The following is a 17,918-nucleotide window of genomic DNA, read 5'->3' as shown; positions in this document are numbered from 1 at the left end:
TCCATTTTTTCCATGATCTAATCATAACACTGACCTTTAAGAATCTTCCTGTATACTGGAATTTATTGGAATATGTAGGTATTTCCTATATACTCACTCCCCTCTCTTTATCTTCCAAGGCAAGAGCTTCACATGTTGAACTTCAAGGAACCTACTTTTGAAATATGTTACCTCCGTAGTGAAACCTTCTATAAATATTTTAAAATTTCCAAATTTAAATTCAAGGAACATTGCGATTATAAACTCCTATTTTTTATTAGTTTAATATCTTTTTACATGTAGTTTCTAATCAGTTTCCTATTGCTCAGTCCAGTTGCGTTGAGCAGATAATTTCAAATTCTTCAGCTTCCATATCTTCAAATCTAAAGTAAATAATGATATTAAACTGTAAAGCCTTGAATTTACTTTTAGTTGTAACAAATATGCAGTTCTAAGCAAATCACTAATTCTATATTTACTGCACAAACTTTGTCTATATTTAATATTATAATTAGTCTCAGGTGGTAAAAAGCATGTTAAAAACAGATTTTAATCAAAACCAAAAATTGAGAAAAATCCCAAAACACCAAAAAAAAAAAATCAGTAACATAAAGGGGCAACCATAAATCTGATTCTAAGTCAGTATAGTAAAATCTCTCTTGCCTTTTCCTAACAGTACTAATTTTATTTCTTCATGGCTTCTTACTTCTAAATATGCTGTCAATACTTCTAAATATGCTCTCAATTATATTCTTCCCTTCAGAGTTACCATTACTGTTTGTTTCCCACAGTGTAGACTTCTAACAAGATCTCCTGACCTCCTGTTTATGTCCAGTCTTAAAGCATATATTTTTCTCCAGCCTCGTGGTCATCCTTCTCTATAGACTTGTCGGCTCCAAACACCCACTATGCATGAAGTGTTTATTCCTTCTTTCAGCAAATATATGGAGGACCTTCTAGGTACCACTCCAGTATTATGCACACAGTGGGGAAAATATAAGCTCTCTGCTCAAAGACAGCAAATAATAAGAATAACAGCAAGTTATGGGGCCCTTTTGTTTCAGATATAGCACAGACTCCAAAACCAAGAACAAAACAATAGTCAACAAATATTCCCATGTCCTATTTCTGCAGTACTTGTAAATACAGTGAAAATAAAACAGTTTGAGGGTTTTTGCTGTACGAATCAATGTTACTAAATGTTAAGATTGAAGACTCAAAAAGCATGTTTTTATTGTTTTATTGATCTGTTTATTCCTTGGGAATGTATTTTTGCTGTGAAATACCTCATAAGGAAATTATAATTGAAAATTTCTAGAGGATCTCTCTGAAACTGTAGAAACTGATCCATGAGAGACTAACTCAAATTTAAATATCAATAAAGCCCAGAAATAGCAACTGTGTCCACCAGGTTAGACTGTGTCCCTTTTACTTTTGATAATATGGACACAGTCATGTCAACTGGCCACAGCTGGAGAAGGAGTAGCTGGAATGAAGTCGGAGGAGAAGCTGTTCTGACCTCCACCACTGCAGACTTCCTAGGCTAAAATAAATCTCAAGTGCACAAGTGGAAAATCTTTGCATTATATGAGAGTTCAGTATGTAGAAAACACTCTACTTCATAACTGAAATGAGACTGTTCTTGAGACTAAACGTTCCCAAGTAATTTAAAAAAATTATCCAAACATGACCAAAAGGACCTACATAAAAAACAACTGTTTACTAAATATAAACCTGCTTTTAGTGGTTAGATGGGGTAGGGGATACAGGGATATTGGGACACAGTTATTTTTTATTTGAACCATGTCCATTGCAACCATATAATGAATAGGACATGAAGAGATAAATGCATTAGGAAATTTTACTTAGAAAAATTTCTGGAAAACATTAATCAGGTTGATGTGATAGACATTGACAGAGACTCCTTTGGGTTAAATGATTATAAATATCTTCCTGATGAGTGGACATTTGCATGAATATAGACATTACTTCTCTAATATGTAAAGATCATACACACATGCAAAATGTAAACCTATATTAAAATCTCTAGGGACTTCAAGTAAGAAGTAATAAAAGCATTTATAGAGGCATGTCTTGCAGAAAACTGTGATAATATCTTCAGAGCAGACCACCTCTTTGTTTTTAATTCTCAAAACGCATACAATGTATGTATCTCTCAATACAATAATATTTTAGCTAGCAGTTATGTAGGGAAAATACATCTTCAAATCTCACTATATCATTTTAGCAAAGTATTCAGGAAAATCCTGAATGCATACATTTTGCACTCAAAATTCTCTGTCATAAATTTGAAAAACTTTATTCCATCAAAATATTCAAAGTAAAATAAAACATTTATATCTATAATTTAGCCAATCATTTTTTCACATACAGAATTTTTAAAATATATAGTCAAGAATATTAAGATTATATGAAAATGGAGTCAGTGATTTTTAGTAAAAGCTCAAGAGAAATCTTGGTAAATGAAAACTGTATTAAATCTCACATAAATTTTGCTCTGCAGAAGGTATCTCAATATAATTTATCAATACTTCATATTTGCATAATTCACATAATTCACACAAGTACATATGTAATGGCAATGAAGCATGGTTATTATTAATATGATATTATGAATATCTACCAGAGCTCTCTCATTTTCTTTCTTGGAGACAATACATAATTATATGTGCAATTAAATTTTGTACCCATTGTATTGAAGAATAATGCTCTTTTCTATAAAGTAAATGAAAGAGAGGGATGTTTGTTATTGTGTTTGCTCATCAATGTCTCATAATTGGCATATGTTCATATATTCATATTCTCACTTGTTTCATATGAAAGCATGAATAGGAGGGAGCACTTTAATAAATTTCTTAAAGTAAATTCTTAAATAGTCACTTCATATAGCTAAATGTCTACATCCATTTTATTAAAGAATATGGGCGGCCGGGCGCGGTGGCTCACGCCTGTAATCCCAGCACGTTGGGAGGCCGAGGCGGGCAGATCACGAGGTCAGGAGATCGAGACCATTCTGGCTAACACGATGAAACCCCGTCTCTACTAAAATTACAAAAAATTAGCCGGGCACGGTGGCGGGCGCCTGTAGTCCCAGCTACTCGGGAGGCTGAAGCAGGAGAATGGCGTGAACCCGGGAGGCGGAGCTTGCAGTGAGCAGAGATCGCGCCACTGCACTCCAGCCTGGGCGACAGAGCGAGACTCCGGCTCAAAAAAAAAAAAAAAAAAAGAATATGGGCTATCTTATTGTTTTACTATTATTATTATTGTTATTAATCACTGAACTGTGTTCCATGACTCCTGGTAATTTTAATTAAGAGTTAACATAGACTGGATGCAATGACTCTCGCCTGTAATCCCAGCACTTTGGGAGGTCAAGGCGGGTGGATCACCTGAGGTCAGGAGTTCGAGACCAGCCTGACCAACATGGCGAAATCTTGTTTCTACTAAAAATACAAAAAAATTATCCGGGCATGGTAGTGTATGCCTGTAGTCCCAGCTACATGGGAGGCTGAGGCAGGAGAATCGCTTGAACCCGGGAGGCGGAGGTTGCAGTGAGTTGAGATTGCCCCAATGCACCACTCCAGCCTCGGCAAAAAGAGCTAAACTCCGTCTCAAAAAAAAAAAAAAAAAAAAAAGGAGTTAATAAAGCATGTAAATTTTCAGGTAGGTGGATTAAAATTGAGAGGGGAGCAGCAACTTTGTTAAACTATAACTTAAAACCTTTGCTTCTCTCTTTAGAGCTCTAATCCACAGTAGGCAAAGGGAATTTAATGTAAATTTCAGATTCCCCCTTTAGCAAAATTATCTCACTAACTTCATGTTTAAAAATATACTATGCATTTATAGATTACATAAAGCTATTAAATGTAGAACTTTGAATTAAAATGTTAAATCCTAGCCCAAGATTAGAGGTATATTATCAAGTAGGAAATTGAGCTGTAAGAATGTATACTATTATATCAAATTTTCTAAAGGAATTTAAATTTGGCTGCAGTTTAGCTTAACTTACATCATCAAATTTCTCAGCATTCAGTGGTGTCATTTTCAAATACCACCCCAAAAAATGTGCAAGACGACTGAGCTTTTTCAATTTTCTTTGACACTCCTCTGTCGCTATTTGCAAGTCTGCATCATAGGCTTAGCACCAAATCTAGTTTGTTTGATTTTCCTGAGTCTAGCAGAGCGGAGGGACAGAACTGTGAATCATGAGAGGACTAGGCTTCCGCCCCTGTGATAACTGAGCTTCTGAAGGGACACAATAAAGAGAAAAAAACAAAAATCTAGGAAATGACCTTTGATTATGTTTACTCCTAGATGTAGAGAAAATCCAAGAAAAAGTATGTTTGGGCTGGGAGCGGTGGCTCATGCCTGTCATCCCGGCACTTTGGGAGGCTGAGACAGGTGGATCACCTGAAGTCAGGAGTTTGAGACCAGCCTGGACAATATGGTGAAACCCTGTCTCTACTAAAAATACAAAAAATTAGCTGGGCGTGGTAGCAGGAGCTTGCAATCCCAGCTACTTGGGAGGCTGAGGCAGGAGAATTGCTTGAACCTGGGAGGCGGAGGTTGCAGTGAGCCGAGATTGCGCTACTGCACTCCAGCCTGGGTAACAAAAGCTAAACTCCGTTGTTGTTGTTGTTGTTTTTTAAAGAAAAAGTATGTTTGTGTGTTGGTGGAGGGAAGGAGACTATGACCCTTCTAGAGGCCAAAGAAGCAAAACGTTCCAAGGAATTGATGACTGATCTTGTTGAGTGATACAAACTCATTACAGGGACAGATGTAGCAATTTCGAGATCAGTGTGGACCCAGGAGAGACTAGTTGTAATAATCTGGGCAAATGAGAATAAGATGGCTTTGAGCTAGACTGGAAGAAGCCTACTTGCTAGGTTTTCAGAGTCGTATTATTAAGATTAAAAATTAAGTGGGCCGGGTGCAGTGGCTCACGCCTGCAATCCCAGCACTTTGGGAGACCGAAGCGAAGATTGCTTGAGACTGGGAGTTCGAGATCAGCCTGGGCAACATGGCAAAACACTGTCTCTACTAAAAATAGAAAAAATTATCCAGGCATGGTGGCACGTGCCTGTAGTCCCAGCTACCAGAAAGGGTGAGGTGAAAAGATCACCTGAGCCTCGGAGTTTGAGGCTGCAGTGAGCCAAGATCATGCCACTGCACTCCAGCCTGGATGACAGAGTGAGACCTTGTATCAGGGGGGAAAAAAAAAAGCTATATTTGAAATGATGAACAACTAGACAACCAGAAAGGTAAGATAAATTATGATGTGGATAGTAAAAAGGGATGTGAGGTCGGGCACGGTAGCTCACACCTGTAATCCCAGCACTTCGGGAGGCCAAGGCGGGTGGATCACTAGGTCAGGAGATCGAGACCAGCCTGGCCAACATGGTGAAACCCCGTCTCTACTAAAATACAAAAAATTAGCCAGACGTGGTGGCACGTGCCTGTAGTCCCAGCTTCTCAGGGGGCTGAGGAAGGGGAATCCTGTAAACCCTGGAGGCGGAGGTTGTAGTGAGCCGAGATTGTGCCACTGCACTCCAGCCTGGCAACAGAGCAAGACTCTCTCTCTCTCTCTCTCTCTCACACACACACAAAAAAAAAAAAAAAAAAAAGGAAAAGAAAGGATGTGAACGTGAACATCAGGTGAGCTCACTCTTTTTGTTAAAAATTGTAATTAAATATAACTATTAAGCTCAAAGTCACCATCATACATAATCAGAAAAAAAAGACATGCTAATTTAAATCACCAGTTTTTAAAAAGACCTTTCTCATCATCTGTATTTAACGTTCTTCTGGAAGAAAATATTGGTATAATTACTATCACATACAATTTTGGGGGTACAGTTAAATGAGATATATAATATTTTGAAACTTGATGTAGCCTGATAATGATACCTTTAAAGTTTATTTTATTATTTTAGGATTTCAACAACCTCATGAGGTAGTTCCAATTATCTTTCATTTATAATTAAGAAAAAAATATGTGCCTTCATTGTCTAAGTTTTCTAGTGGTAAGAATCAAGAAAGTTGTAAAAATGGACTTCTGACCCTGAACGTATGACTCCAGGATTAGAATCAACATTATACCTCATTCGCCATTATTAAGAATATTCTTGGCCGGGCACGGTGGCTCACGCCTGTAATCCCAGCACTTTGGGGGGCCGAGGCAGGTGGATCACGAGGTCAGGAGTTCAAGACCAGCCTGGCCAAGATGAGGAAACCCCATCTCTACTAAAAATACAAAAATTAGCTGGGCTTGGTGGCACATGCCTGTAATCCCAGCTATTCAGGAGGCTGAGGCAGAAAATTGCTTGAAGCCGGGAGGCGGAGATTGCAGTGAGTGGAGACTGCGCCACTGCACTCCAGCATAGGCAACAAAGTGAGACTCCGTCTCAAAAAAACAAACAAACAAAAAAGAATATTCTTACATTTATTAATATATATTACCACATCAAAACAGTTATATTTTTAAGTAGTGCACTGATTAATAAATTAGCAGATTTTTTTCTAGTTAAGTACAAAACTAAGATTGCATATGTAATAGAGCTATTTTGACTATTTCACAGAAAAATCCAATTAATTTTCATAGCCATTATGTGTTTATTATTTAATTTATATTTGGAATTGATGATGCATGCACTTTATACAGAAAAGGTATACAGTTAAAACTAAGATTCTCATCTTGATCCTCAGATATCCCTAGTTTTCTTCTTTAAAAATATATATATTTCCAGTTTTTTGTTACATATTCCAAGAGAAACATGTAAAGACGTGTGTTATCTTGTTTTTGGAAACATGGCAGTGTACTTTATGAGATGTGAGATGTTAATGGAATCTGCTTTTTTTTTTTTTTAACTAAAAAATGTAACCTAGGACTCACTGCATTACAGTACATAAAGATGTTTTTCTCTTTTTGAGTAGCTGAATAATATTCTTTCTAATGGGTGCACTGTAATTGTTTTAACATTTTTAAAGGACGTTTAGTTTTTTTAAAAAAAATTACTAATATAGCAATATGACAGGTGCTATTTGACACAGAGTTATATCTTTAGGAAATATGACTACAAGTAGAAACCCTGAAGCATAGTCTTGAAAAGTTTTAAACTTTGATAGGGATTTTATATTACTCTCCATTGAGGTTGTTTCAACCTAAACCAATGACTAGGAAAGTAACTATTTTTCCACATCTGTAGCAAATCACTGTATCACCATTATCATTTTTATTTATTTTGGTTTATAAGTGAAAAGATTTATGAGTGACATTTTATTGTTCATGCTAAGTGAGCATGAGCATCTATGTGTTTGAAGCATTTTGCGTTTTGCAAATGTGTTCAGATCCTTTGTCAATCTTTCTATTGACATGGTAGTGTTTTTTTTGATCCACAGTCTGTCTTTATTAATTGACCTTTATGTTTTAAAAATTTTTTAAATAATGCATATTTCAATTTACATAAAACATGTATACACTTTAACAAATAAATACAAATCAATGGATGTGTCCTCTCCCCAGGCCAGGAAATGGAAAATTTCTAGCCCCCAGGAATCCCTCTTTGTGGTGTATTAATAGCAACACCATTTTTCCTTCCAAGAGGTGCTATTAAGCTTTATTTTGTGATAATAGTGTCTGTTTTTCTTTATAGTTTGAATATCTATATAGGTATTTCTAAATAAAATACTAGAATTTTGGCTATTTTTGAAATTTAAGCATAATCATAGTTCAGATAATCTTTTGTCTTTCTTCTTTTGCCAAATATTGTTGTGTAGCGTATCTTTCTACATAAACGTATTTGAATTCAGTACAATCCTATTAATATGGATCACATATCAATGGATATGTTATGCAATATCAATGTGTATATGGAGTGGCCTCTTCCCCTAGTTTTCACTGTTACCAATAATGCTCCTACGATCATTTCTGTGCATGTATCCTGATACTCATGTACATTAGTATATAATCTGAAGTAAAATTGCTGTTCTATAGTATGAACCTAGCTTTAATCTTTTCAGAAGTTGTCATAGTACTTTCCTAAGTTGTAACCAGTAAAACTTCCACCAGCAGTGAATGAGTTCCTGTTATTTGATGTCAACATCTTAACTTCTTATTTTTAGAATTTTAAAAATATCTTTTTTATTCTCATTTTTCTCAATATCAGTAATCTTCCATCTTTGTAATTAAGTTTTTTTAGATCAAAACGTTTACTTTTTGTGTTACCAAAAATAAATCCAAGCAAATAATGAAATAAACACAATTTTTAAGGGTTCCATCCTGGGTTATCTGTTCTAGAATTTAGTAAACAGTTCAAGTTTCGGTTACTTTGACACTTCGTCTGGATGATTATAACCACGTATTGAAGTTTTTCAAGTGTTTTACCAATAGTTTCTTCAGGATGTCTATTGTTTTCTTGTGGATTGCTTCATTCACAAATTCATAACAGGCGTGGAACACCAAGTATTTTCTGGGCAATCTCTAGGTCACTTGGTCACATCACTGCATGGAAGGCAACCATCCTGTCCTCACGAAGCTTGCATTTTTAGTGAGAAATACAGGAAATTCAAAATAAATGTGAGACATATTATTCTTATAGTTGTTACAAATGTAAGTGCAATCAGAAAAGAAGAGATGTAGCAAGATAAGGAATATTGGGAATAGGGCAGAACAGGTCATGGTGATCAATGCTTCCTCACGGAGAAGGTGATATTTGAGCAAAGGACTGGAAGGAAGTGAATGAGACCAGCAGTTATCAAGGGGTTACTGTTTTCATGAAGAAGAAATAGTTACTGCAAATGCTTTAAAATTGAGAGGTTCTAGTGAATATTTGAGGAAAGCAAGGAGTCAACTGTAGCTGAAGCAAAGGAAGCAAGAGGAAAGTGGTAGGAGAAGAGGTTGGAAAAGAGGTAATGGGTCGGGGGGTGCCCAGAATCCCTAGGGTGTGGTAGACTAAATAATGGCCCCCAAGGATGGCCACACCCTAATCCTCACAACTGTGAGCATGTCACTTCAAATGTCTGAAGAGACTATGCAAATGTGATCAAATTAAGGATCTTGATGTGAAGCAAGTATCCTGGATTACATGAATGATCCCAACATAACTCATGGGTCTCTGTCAAGAGTGAAGCAAGAGAGTCAATTTTAGAAAAAAGAGATGTGACAATGGAAGTAGAGGTTGAAATGATGCACTTTGGAGATGAAGGAAGGGGACACAAGCCACAGAATGCAGACAGCTGGAAAAGGCAAGGAAGCGGAGTCTCCTTTGAAGCTTCCAGAAGGAATGCAACCCTATCATCTCCTTGGTTTTAGACTTCTGACATTTAACAGCTATAAGAAAATTAATTTGTGTTGTTTTAATTCATTGGGTTTGTGGTTATTTCTTACAATAGGAATAGGAAACTAATATGTAGGGTCTTATATAAATTCTGACTTTTACTCTATGTTACATGGGAAGATACTGTAGAATTTTTAGCAGAAGGTTGATATTATACTAACTAAGTTTTAACTAATGGATACTCGGCTTAATACCTGGGTGATGAAATAATCTGTATAACAAACCAGTAACTCATTTTTTTCTACAACAAAACTAAGGTATCATAGAATATCTTTAGTAAATTCTTCTAACCATTCATGAAAGCAATAATTCCATCTCACACAAATTATTTAAGAGAATGGAAAACATGTTGATACTGCCTATCTGATTTTATATGGTTAATATAACTTTGCCATCTAAATCCAATAAAAATAGTTAAACAAAAGGTATTTAACAGGGAAATATCTTGTATAAAAATGAATAATTTTATAAAACTCAAAAATTATATATAGTCTATATAATAATCTGTATAACAAACCCCCATGACATGGGTTTACCTATATAACAAACCTGCACAGGTACCTCTGAACTTAAAATAAAAGTTAAAAAAATAGAATTTTCACTCTGTCTTCTGGCTTTAAAGTTGATACAACAGAAATTTCTCAAGTATTATATATGGAGTTTTTGGGAGTGTTGTTAAGGATGACTCCTAAGTCAAAGATTTTGGCCTTAGCAACTGGAGACTATAAATCTGCTTTTATTTGAAGCGATAGAGCATTAGGGAGAAAAAAACAGATTTCAGCTTTAGATAGAGTAAGATACATGAAGTTTTGAATTGTAAATTGGAACCTCTTAGCAGTAATTACCTTCTGTATGGTATTTAATGTCATGGGACTAGATAATATGCAAAAAAATGTGAGTGTAGTGAGAGAAGAACTAGGTCCATTTTCAGGGGCAAACCCTCATTAAGACATGTGTATGGTAGAGAGAGAGAGAAGAAAAAACAATGAATGAAACTGAGAATAAATATTTCTTGAGCTGCAGGAAAACCTCTTAGAAGACAAAGAAAATGTAAGGAGAAGAGAATGTGTCAACCTTGTCAAAAGCTGCTGCTAAGTCAAGAATGAGGAGAGGTTTGAATTGACTGTTAACTTTGGTTTCCATGAGGTTATAAGTGTGCTTGATGCTTGTAATTTCATGATGTAGTGAGTCCAGCATTCTTTTTGCAGTGGATTTAAAAGGGCATACAGGGAGAAAAAGTGGAGAAAGCACATGTGAGCAAACTTTAGAAAGTCTTGCTAGAAAGGAGCAAATACGTGCAGCAGTATCTGGCAGGGAACAGTGTCAGTGTAATCAAGAAAAAATATATATCTATATACATAGATGTATATTTATGTATACATATATATATATTTTTGTTTTCCTTGTCTTTCTGCATGAATAAAGAATCTAATACAATATCGAATAAGAAATATGATAGGGAGAATTCTTATTTTGTTCCTGGTTTCAGAGAAAATGTTTACCATTTTACTCTTAATTATAAAGTATCTTAAGGTTGTTTTTAAAGATATCTTTAGCAGAAGAAGGAATTGCCTTTTAATCATAGTGTCTTCTTTTTACTCATAAATGAATATGAAATCTTTTCATATATATTTATAACTCTATTGACCTGTTTATTTCCCCTTTAGTAAATTAACCTGAGTGATTACCTTAAATAATATTTCTCATTTGAACCAAATTTGAAGATCTGGAAGAAGTCAATATTGGTAATTATAACTTTTTAAAATTATTATCTTCCATTTGCTTGTTTAAAATTTTTGAGTTTTATAAAATTTTTCATTTTTTATACAAGATATTTCCCTGTAAAATGCATTTTCTTTAACTCTTTTTGTTGGATTTAGATGGCAAACTTATATTAGCCACATAAAATCAGGTAGGCAGTATCAACATGTTTTCCATTGTCTTAAATAATTTCTGTGAGATGGAATTATTGCTTTCATGAATGGTAGACAGAATTCATTAAAGATATCCTATAATGCCACAGTTTTGTTGTAGAAAAAAATGAGCTACTGATTTGTTTTCTTCAATGGTTATAGAGATACTTGAATTCTCCTTGTTTCTAGCCTTAGTTTTAGTAAACCTCATTTTTAGCACTTATTAAATACTGATTTTGACAAACAAAACAGTAATGCATATATATTTGCAGAGCAGGAGTTTCCAGCAGTTCTAATGGATCAGAGTATAGCAGAAAGATATGTAGCTGGTGAATCCAGTGATTCTGAAGCAGAGATTCTTAAACCAGACTATTACTCTTTGTATGGCAAAGGAATAAAGTCTCCATGGCCAGAATCCATGTGTCTTCTGGTCATCTACAGCTAGATGAAGAAGATGAAGATGCTTCTTTCAATAAACCAACTGCTGAAGACAGGACTTGCTAAAAACATGTAATTACTTTTTAGCTTAAAAGGGTGAACTCTATGAACATTTCTGAGTCAGTTCCATGTTACCCAACTTAGGCAAAAAATAATAAAGCTTGTGAAAACCATTTTCTTGGTTACAATGTATTCATTGGCATTAAGGAAATCTTCTCATTTTGGACACCTATTTTATGAAAGATCTAGCTGCTGCCCCATTTGTTGAGCTTCACTCTTCTGCTCCCTCTGAAGGGACAATGGAAAGTGTCCTCTCCTCACCAGCACTGTGGTGGGGTGAGGCAGGTATTTGTCCTCTCCATTACACATTTCCTCATAGAGACATTACAAGTGAAGGTCAGGCTCTTCAATGCTGAAGAATGGTGACAGTATGGGTTAGCATATGGAATTGGCTTCTAATGACATTTAGTTATTTAGTAGATTGTGACTGTGTTGATCATTGTGCTCTTTAACAACACTGAACAAAGATTTCAGTCCTTATTATTTGTGTGGGGCCCAGTAAAAATGGTCTTGTTATATGGTAAGGACTTCAATTTTTATAACATATATGAGAGGAGCATGGCCGTCCTATAGCCTCAGGAACAAGGTGACAGCTTAGATTCTCTCAACAGAATACAGGTTTAGAATTAATTTAGGAGTTGGAAGAAATCTAAATCTAGGAAATTCATAAATTAAATCAATTTCTAAACCAGACATATACCTGATAAGAATATTATGTTTGACTTATAAATTCTATATTCTTAATTATTTACTATATGTAGTGAAAGAGAAACGTTAACAGATCAGTTGGTTTATCTAATATTTCCTGCCAGAGTTTATTTTATTGTCATATCTTCTTGCATGTATGCAGGCAAGGAAATGAGATGAATATTGTTGTAATAAAGAGTGATGGAAAATCTATGCAATTAAAATTTTGAAAAACGTATTAATGAACAACTATATTTTATGATACTTTCAGGTTTGTAGAAAAGTTACAGGATAATATGAAGGTCCTGTATATCCCACAACTCACTTCCCCTCTTGCGATCATTTTCAGTTACTTTAGTACTTTTGTCACAAATAATCAGCCAATAGGTATACATTGTTATTAAATAAATTCTGTGGTTTATTCAGATTTTCATGTTTCTTCCCTAATGACCTTTCTCACCTCTAGAATTCCACCAGAAAACTACAGTGCATTTAGCCATCATGTATCCTTAAATTCTTTTATGCTGTGGAAGCTTCACAGTTTTTGGTTTTTTTTTTTTAAATAACTTTGACGTTGAGGTGTACTAGAGTGTTTTGTAGAATATCTCTCAGTTTGGGTTTTTTTTTTTTAATATTTTAGCTAATGGACAGACTGTGGTTGTGGGCTTTGGGAGGAAGACCACTGAGGTAAAAATGCCATTCTCAGCACATCATATCATGGCATGGACAGATGTTTTCAATATTGCTCATTAGTGATCATGTTAACCTTGAAACCTAGGTAAAGTCTCCACTGGCATGCTGCTTTCTATACTGTCCTTTTGGAAACTAGTCACTAAGCATAGTCCACTCTTAAGGGACTGCCAATTTTTCTCTAACTTTTTGAAGTGTAGATTTACAAAATTACCTGAAATTCTTCTGTAGGATATTTGTCTCTTCTCCCCTGTTCATTTATTTATTTAGTAATTTATTTATATTCACATTTACACCTGGATATTTACTTTTTACTTTAGGTTATAATCTAATACTATTTGACTGACTTTGTTACTCAGATTGATCCAGCTTTGGCCATTGGGAACTCTGCCCTATCGTTTTGGGTTTTGAGCACTTTTACTTTCTTATTTTGAGCACTGCAAGATGTCTCAGTCTCATCTTGTATTTTCTAGCCCAGTGATCGAATAAGACATTTCAAGAAGACATTTTTCAAATAAAAAGATGGTGAAGAGGTTTAACCTACCAGAATTTAAGTCAAGTTACATAATAATCTTCTAAAGCACGTGGCTCTAAGTTGAAAAAACAATCTAAAATAATAAAATAAATGCTAAAAGGTGATATAAAGTATTATGAGATATCAATGTAATACACATCAGGAACAACTCAGTAATGGAAAAGTCACCCTCACCTTAATTGCTATTGTCACTAGCAATAAGGAAATTTAATTTTGGTTTATAGCTGATAAAATTGAAGAAATACAGATGAGAGATTATCACATAGAAAAGTCAAATTGTCTCTCCACATGAGAAAAATAAATGCCCTAAAATAATTAAAGTTATAAAAATACATAAAAATGTTATTGGCAGGTTTGTAGGAAACCGATATGCAGGAATGATAGCTCTTTGGGTTAATTCAAATCAGCAGGAGTCAATATTTCAGACAATAGGTAACAAACAGTAAGTTTTTATATATTTGATCCAATAATAGCATTTTGAACATTTTGGAAGTTAACTCCAAAGAGAAAAAAAATGTTTATAGAAGTGCTATTTATAAAATATACAATAGAAACCTATTCAAACTCTCAAGAACAGAATAATGGCTAAACATTAAGATATCTAAACACACTATAAAACTTGCACAGGTATTTAAATATAAAGAATATAAAAGCACATGGAAATACTATTGGAAAGGAATATTTCCATCACTGGAAACAATGTTACAAAAAGTAAAGCAGGCACTCCTTACATTTAAGTGAACGTATGTTTGTTCATTTATATTTATTTATTCAATCATTCAATAAAAATGTTTATTTGAGAACCTCAGTTAGATGCTGAGGAAATGCTATGACCAGTGGTATCTGCTTCTGGCTTTCAAAAATATTATATTTTAACAAAAACCCAAACATTTTAAAGCAATATAATAGAGCCAAGTGTTCATTAAGCATTAAGTTGATTTTTAGGTAAAGTATCTTAACGTAATTCGTAAAAGATGGAAACAATAAACTACTCTAAAATTACAGACTGAGGATGCAGGAGACTTTTCTTTTTTTTCCTTTTTTTTTTTTTTTTTTGTTGTTTTTGTTGTTGCCCAGGCTGGAGTGCAGTGGCGTGACCACAGCTCGCTGCAACCTCTGCCTCCCGGGTTCAAGCGATTCTCATGCCTCAGCCTCCTGAGTAGCTAAGATTACAGGTGTATGCCACCATGCCTGGGTAATTTTTATATTTTTAGGAGAGAGGGGTTTTTGCCATGTTGGCCAAGCTGGTCTGGAGCTCCTGACCTCAGGTGATCTGCCTGCCTCAGCCTCTCAAAGTGGTGGGATTACAGGCATGAGCCATGGTACTGGTGCTGGACCAGCAGGAGACATTTTGAATGTGAAATTAACCTCCTTGTCTCAGATCCGTTTGAGTGACCATGAAAAATTTACCTGAAAACAGACTTGTGTAATAGTGATTAACTTCATTTCTAAATAACATATTGAGGTATTTGTACTATTTACATTTAAGGTATCTTTCATGGGTTAGGTTTGAATTTATAATCTATTTGTTTTCTATTTGTACCGTCTAGTTTTGTTCTCTGGTTTTTTTTTCCTATCATCTTTTGAACTAATTAAATTTAAAAAATAATATCTTAGTATTTGCCCATTAACTCTAAGTCTTTATTTTGTTATGTTAGTTCGGAAGTTAATTGTCATACTCCTTTCTGAGTTTGTTGTCAAACATCTCTGAAGTTCCTTCAATAGGATATTTTGTTCTGGTGTTACTTCCTTTGTGACATTTCATTCTTTTCTTTACATCCACATTATTCAATATGTCAATATCTTGTTCACTGTTCAGTTGGCATCAGATCTGGAGTGGCATCAGATCTCAAGTAGTGACACCGTCAATATTCCCGTGGTGGTTGTAATTTGTTCTACAGCTGCACTTGTGTTTGATTCGAATTTTACTTGCAAGAATGTCATATTTGGTTTGCTACACTTTCATCTATTTTGGCCAATATCCTCTTCCAACTATCCATTTTTGTAAAATGTCATGCGAGTTTATCACTGAGAACCAACCAGACAATGCAACTACACATTTAAGTATCTGTAAATGAATTGAATAATAGATACGCAGTGATCAATCACTGATGGATTTTGAAAAAAGTGACATATTTGGTCACTAATCATAATCACTGTTATTTATGTAGTGGCTTGAGGACTGCAAAGCTAGCATGCAATTACTCAAGTTAATATACTATGATAGGCCGGGCGCAGTGGCTCACGCCTGTAATCCCAGCAATTTGGAGAGGCCGAGGCGGGCGGATCACGAGGTCAGGAGATCGAGACCATTCTGGCTAACATGGTGAAACCCTGTTTCTACTAAAAATACGAAAAAATTAGCCGGGTGTGGTGGCAGGCGCCTGTAGTCCCAGCTACTCGGGAGGTTGAGGCAGGAGAATGGCGTGAACCCGGGAGGCAGAGCTTGCAGTGAGCGGAGATCGCGCCACTGCACTCCAGCCTGGGCGACAGAGAGAGAATCCGTCTCAAAAATATATATATTTTTTATATAATATGAAATATATGTAAATATAAATATATATAATATGAAAATGGTTATAAATATTTAATGCGATAAAAATTAAGTAAATATATGAATATATACAAGATATAAATACATATATTATGATAATTGAAAATTGAACTGTGTTGTTATATGAATGGCTGTTTCTTTCTTTTTTTTTTTTTTTGAGATGGAGTCTCGCTCTGTCGCCCAGGCTGGACTGCAGTGGCGCGATCTCCGCTCACTGCAAGCTCCGCCTCCCGGGTTCACGCCATTCTCCTGCCTCAGCCTCCGGAGTAGCTGGGACTACAGGTGCCCGCCACCACGCTCGGCTAATTTTCTGTATTTTTAGTAGAGTCGGGGTTTCACCGTGTTAGCCAGGATGGTCTCAATCTCCTGACCTCGTGATCTGCCTGCCTCGGCCTCCCAAAGTGCTGGGATTACAGACGTGAGCCACCGCGCCCGGCCTGCTTTTGTCTTTAAACTTTCTTTCCTCATTATTCTGGTACTCTTGGAAACAACTCCCTTCATTGCTTCATTTTTCTCTCTAAATCTTTTTACTCTATTTTTATAATTCCCTTTGCTTGATTTCTTCGTCTTGTATTCTCTTTCATTTACTATGTTTACAACAATTTCTACTGTCTTTTTAACTGTTTACAATCATGTCTTTATTTCTGTCACTATTTTTTAACTCTTCAAATTTTTTCCCGAGCTCTATTTATATATTTATTTTTCATTGTATTGCAGTATCTTTTATTTTATTGCACTATCTTCTATGAACTCATATCAATATTTGGAGTCTTGTTAGATAAAAGCACATGTTCTTGTTACTTTTGGAAATCAATTTATATTTGTTTTATCATTATTTTCTGGTGATCTTTATTTTTTATTTTTTGTGTACGTCTTTTTGTTCTGTCTTCTCTTCTTCTCCTTTTTTTTTTTTTTTTTTTTTCTTTTTCTAAGTACAATTATACAGATTCTGACCAGGTCCTTATGACTGAATAAAGTAAAGCTTTTCTGTCCCAGTTTTTTACAGATCATATGTGAGGCACAGGCAAGAATGAGGAATTCTCTGTCTATGTGAATATGGTGTGAGAAAGACACAAGATTTATGTGTGCTTGCTTTCTTCTTTATTGTCAGCTGAAATTGGTGGCTCTAAGACTACTTATACTGTAAATTTTCTCCTCTTTTAGTCTCATACATACATGGCTTCCTGAAAATACGATTCTACTCTTTGATTCATTTTACCTTGCTATTTTTCTGCCAGAACTGATCCACTATGCCCCTGCCATCAGCCAATATAACCTTTCTCTTTTTTCTAAATAAGATAGTGTTGATTTTTTTGGGGGGAGGGGCATTTAATATTAATTGTTTTGTCAAACTGAATTCTGTCAGCTTTTCCTTTTTTAAGATCCTCAGGTCCAGAAATCCTCTCCCCGTGTCTTTTTCTCCTGATATTTTAAAATTTACAGCATGCAGATAGCTTCCGGCTATCTCTTGGTTTCTTCAAAGAAGGTGCTGGCATTTTTCCTTCTAGATCTGCCGAATGCCTTTAGTCTGTTTTAAAAAGGAAGTGGGAAATTCTCTCTGTGCATTGCTACTTCTTTACCTGGAAGTTGAAAGGCATGGTTCAAAGGTGTCATTCCGCATTCCCAGAAGATGGCGGACTTCACTTCTCTAGCTCTGCTCCTTGGCTTTCCCGGGTCCTTGTAAGTTCCAGGTTAATTTTGATTTC

General features: G+C 35.3%; 1 protein-coding gene across 5 annotated transcripts in view, besides 3 other annotated features; it reads left to right on the top strand.

Annotated features, from left to right (window-relative positions):
• CDH10 (cadherin 10) overlaps nt 1–17,918 on the top strand; it is a 157,879-nt gene that overhangs the window by 54,909 nt on the left and 85,052 nt on the right. The gene's annotated exons all lie outside the window — the stretch shown is intronic.
• Nucleotides 12,100–12,269: an enhancer, noted in NCBI's record as "experimental_84123 CRE fragment used in MPRA reporter constructs". NCBI's record gives its function as "activates a minimal promoter by MPRAs in K562 erythroleukemia cells, with activity observed for the introgressed 5:24577995 variant allele {active_cell/tissue: K562}" and the evidence as "EXISTENCE:reporter gene assay evidence [ECO:0000049][PMID:34662402]".
• Nucleotides 12,100–12,324: a biological region, named in NCBI's record as "Neanderthal introgressed variant-containing enhancers experimental_84111 and experimental_84123".
• Nucleotides 12,155–12,324: an enhancer, noted in NCBI's record as "experimental_84111 CRE fragment used in MPRA reporter constructs". NCBI's record gives its function as "activates a minimal promoter by MPRAs in K562 erythroleukemia cells, with activity observed for both the introgressed and non-introgressed 5:24577940 variant alleles {active_cell/tissue: K562}" and the evidence as "EXISTENCE:reporter gene assay evidence [ECO:0000049][PMID:34662402]".

The sequence above is a fragment of the Homo sapiens genome, chromosome 5 (genome assembly GCF_000001405.40).
Source record: "Homo sapiens chromosome 5, GRCh38.p14 Primary Assembly".
Lineage (NCBI taxonomy): Eukaryota > Metazoa > Chordata > Mammalia > Primates > Hominidae > Homo > Homo sapiens.
The sequence above is the reverse complement of the archived record's forward strand: the minus strand, read 5'-3'. Positions and strand labels throughout refer to the sequence as shown.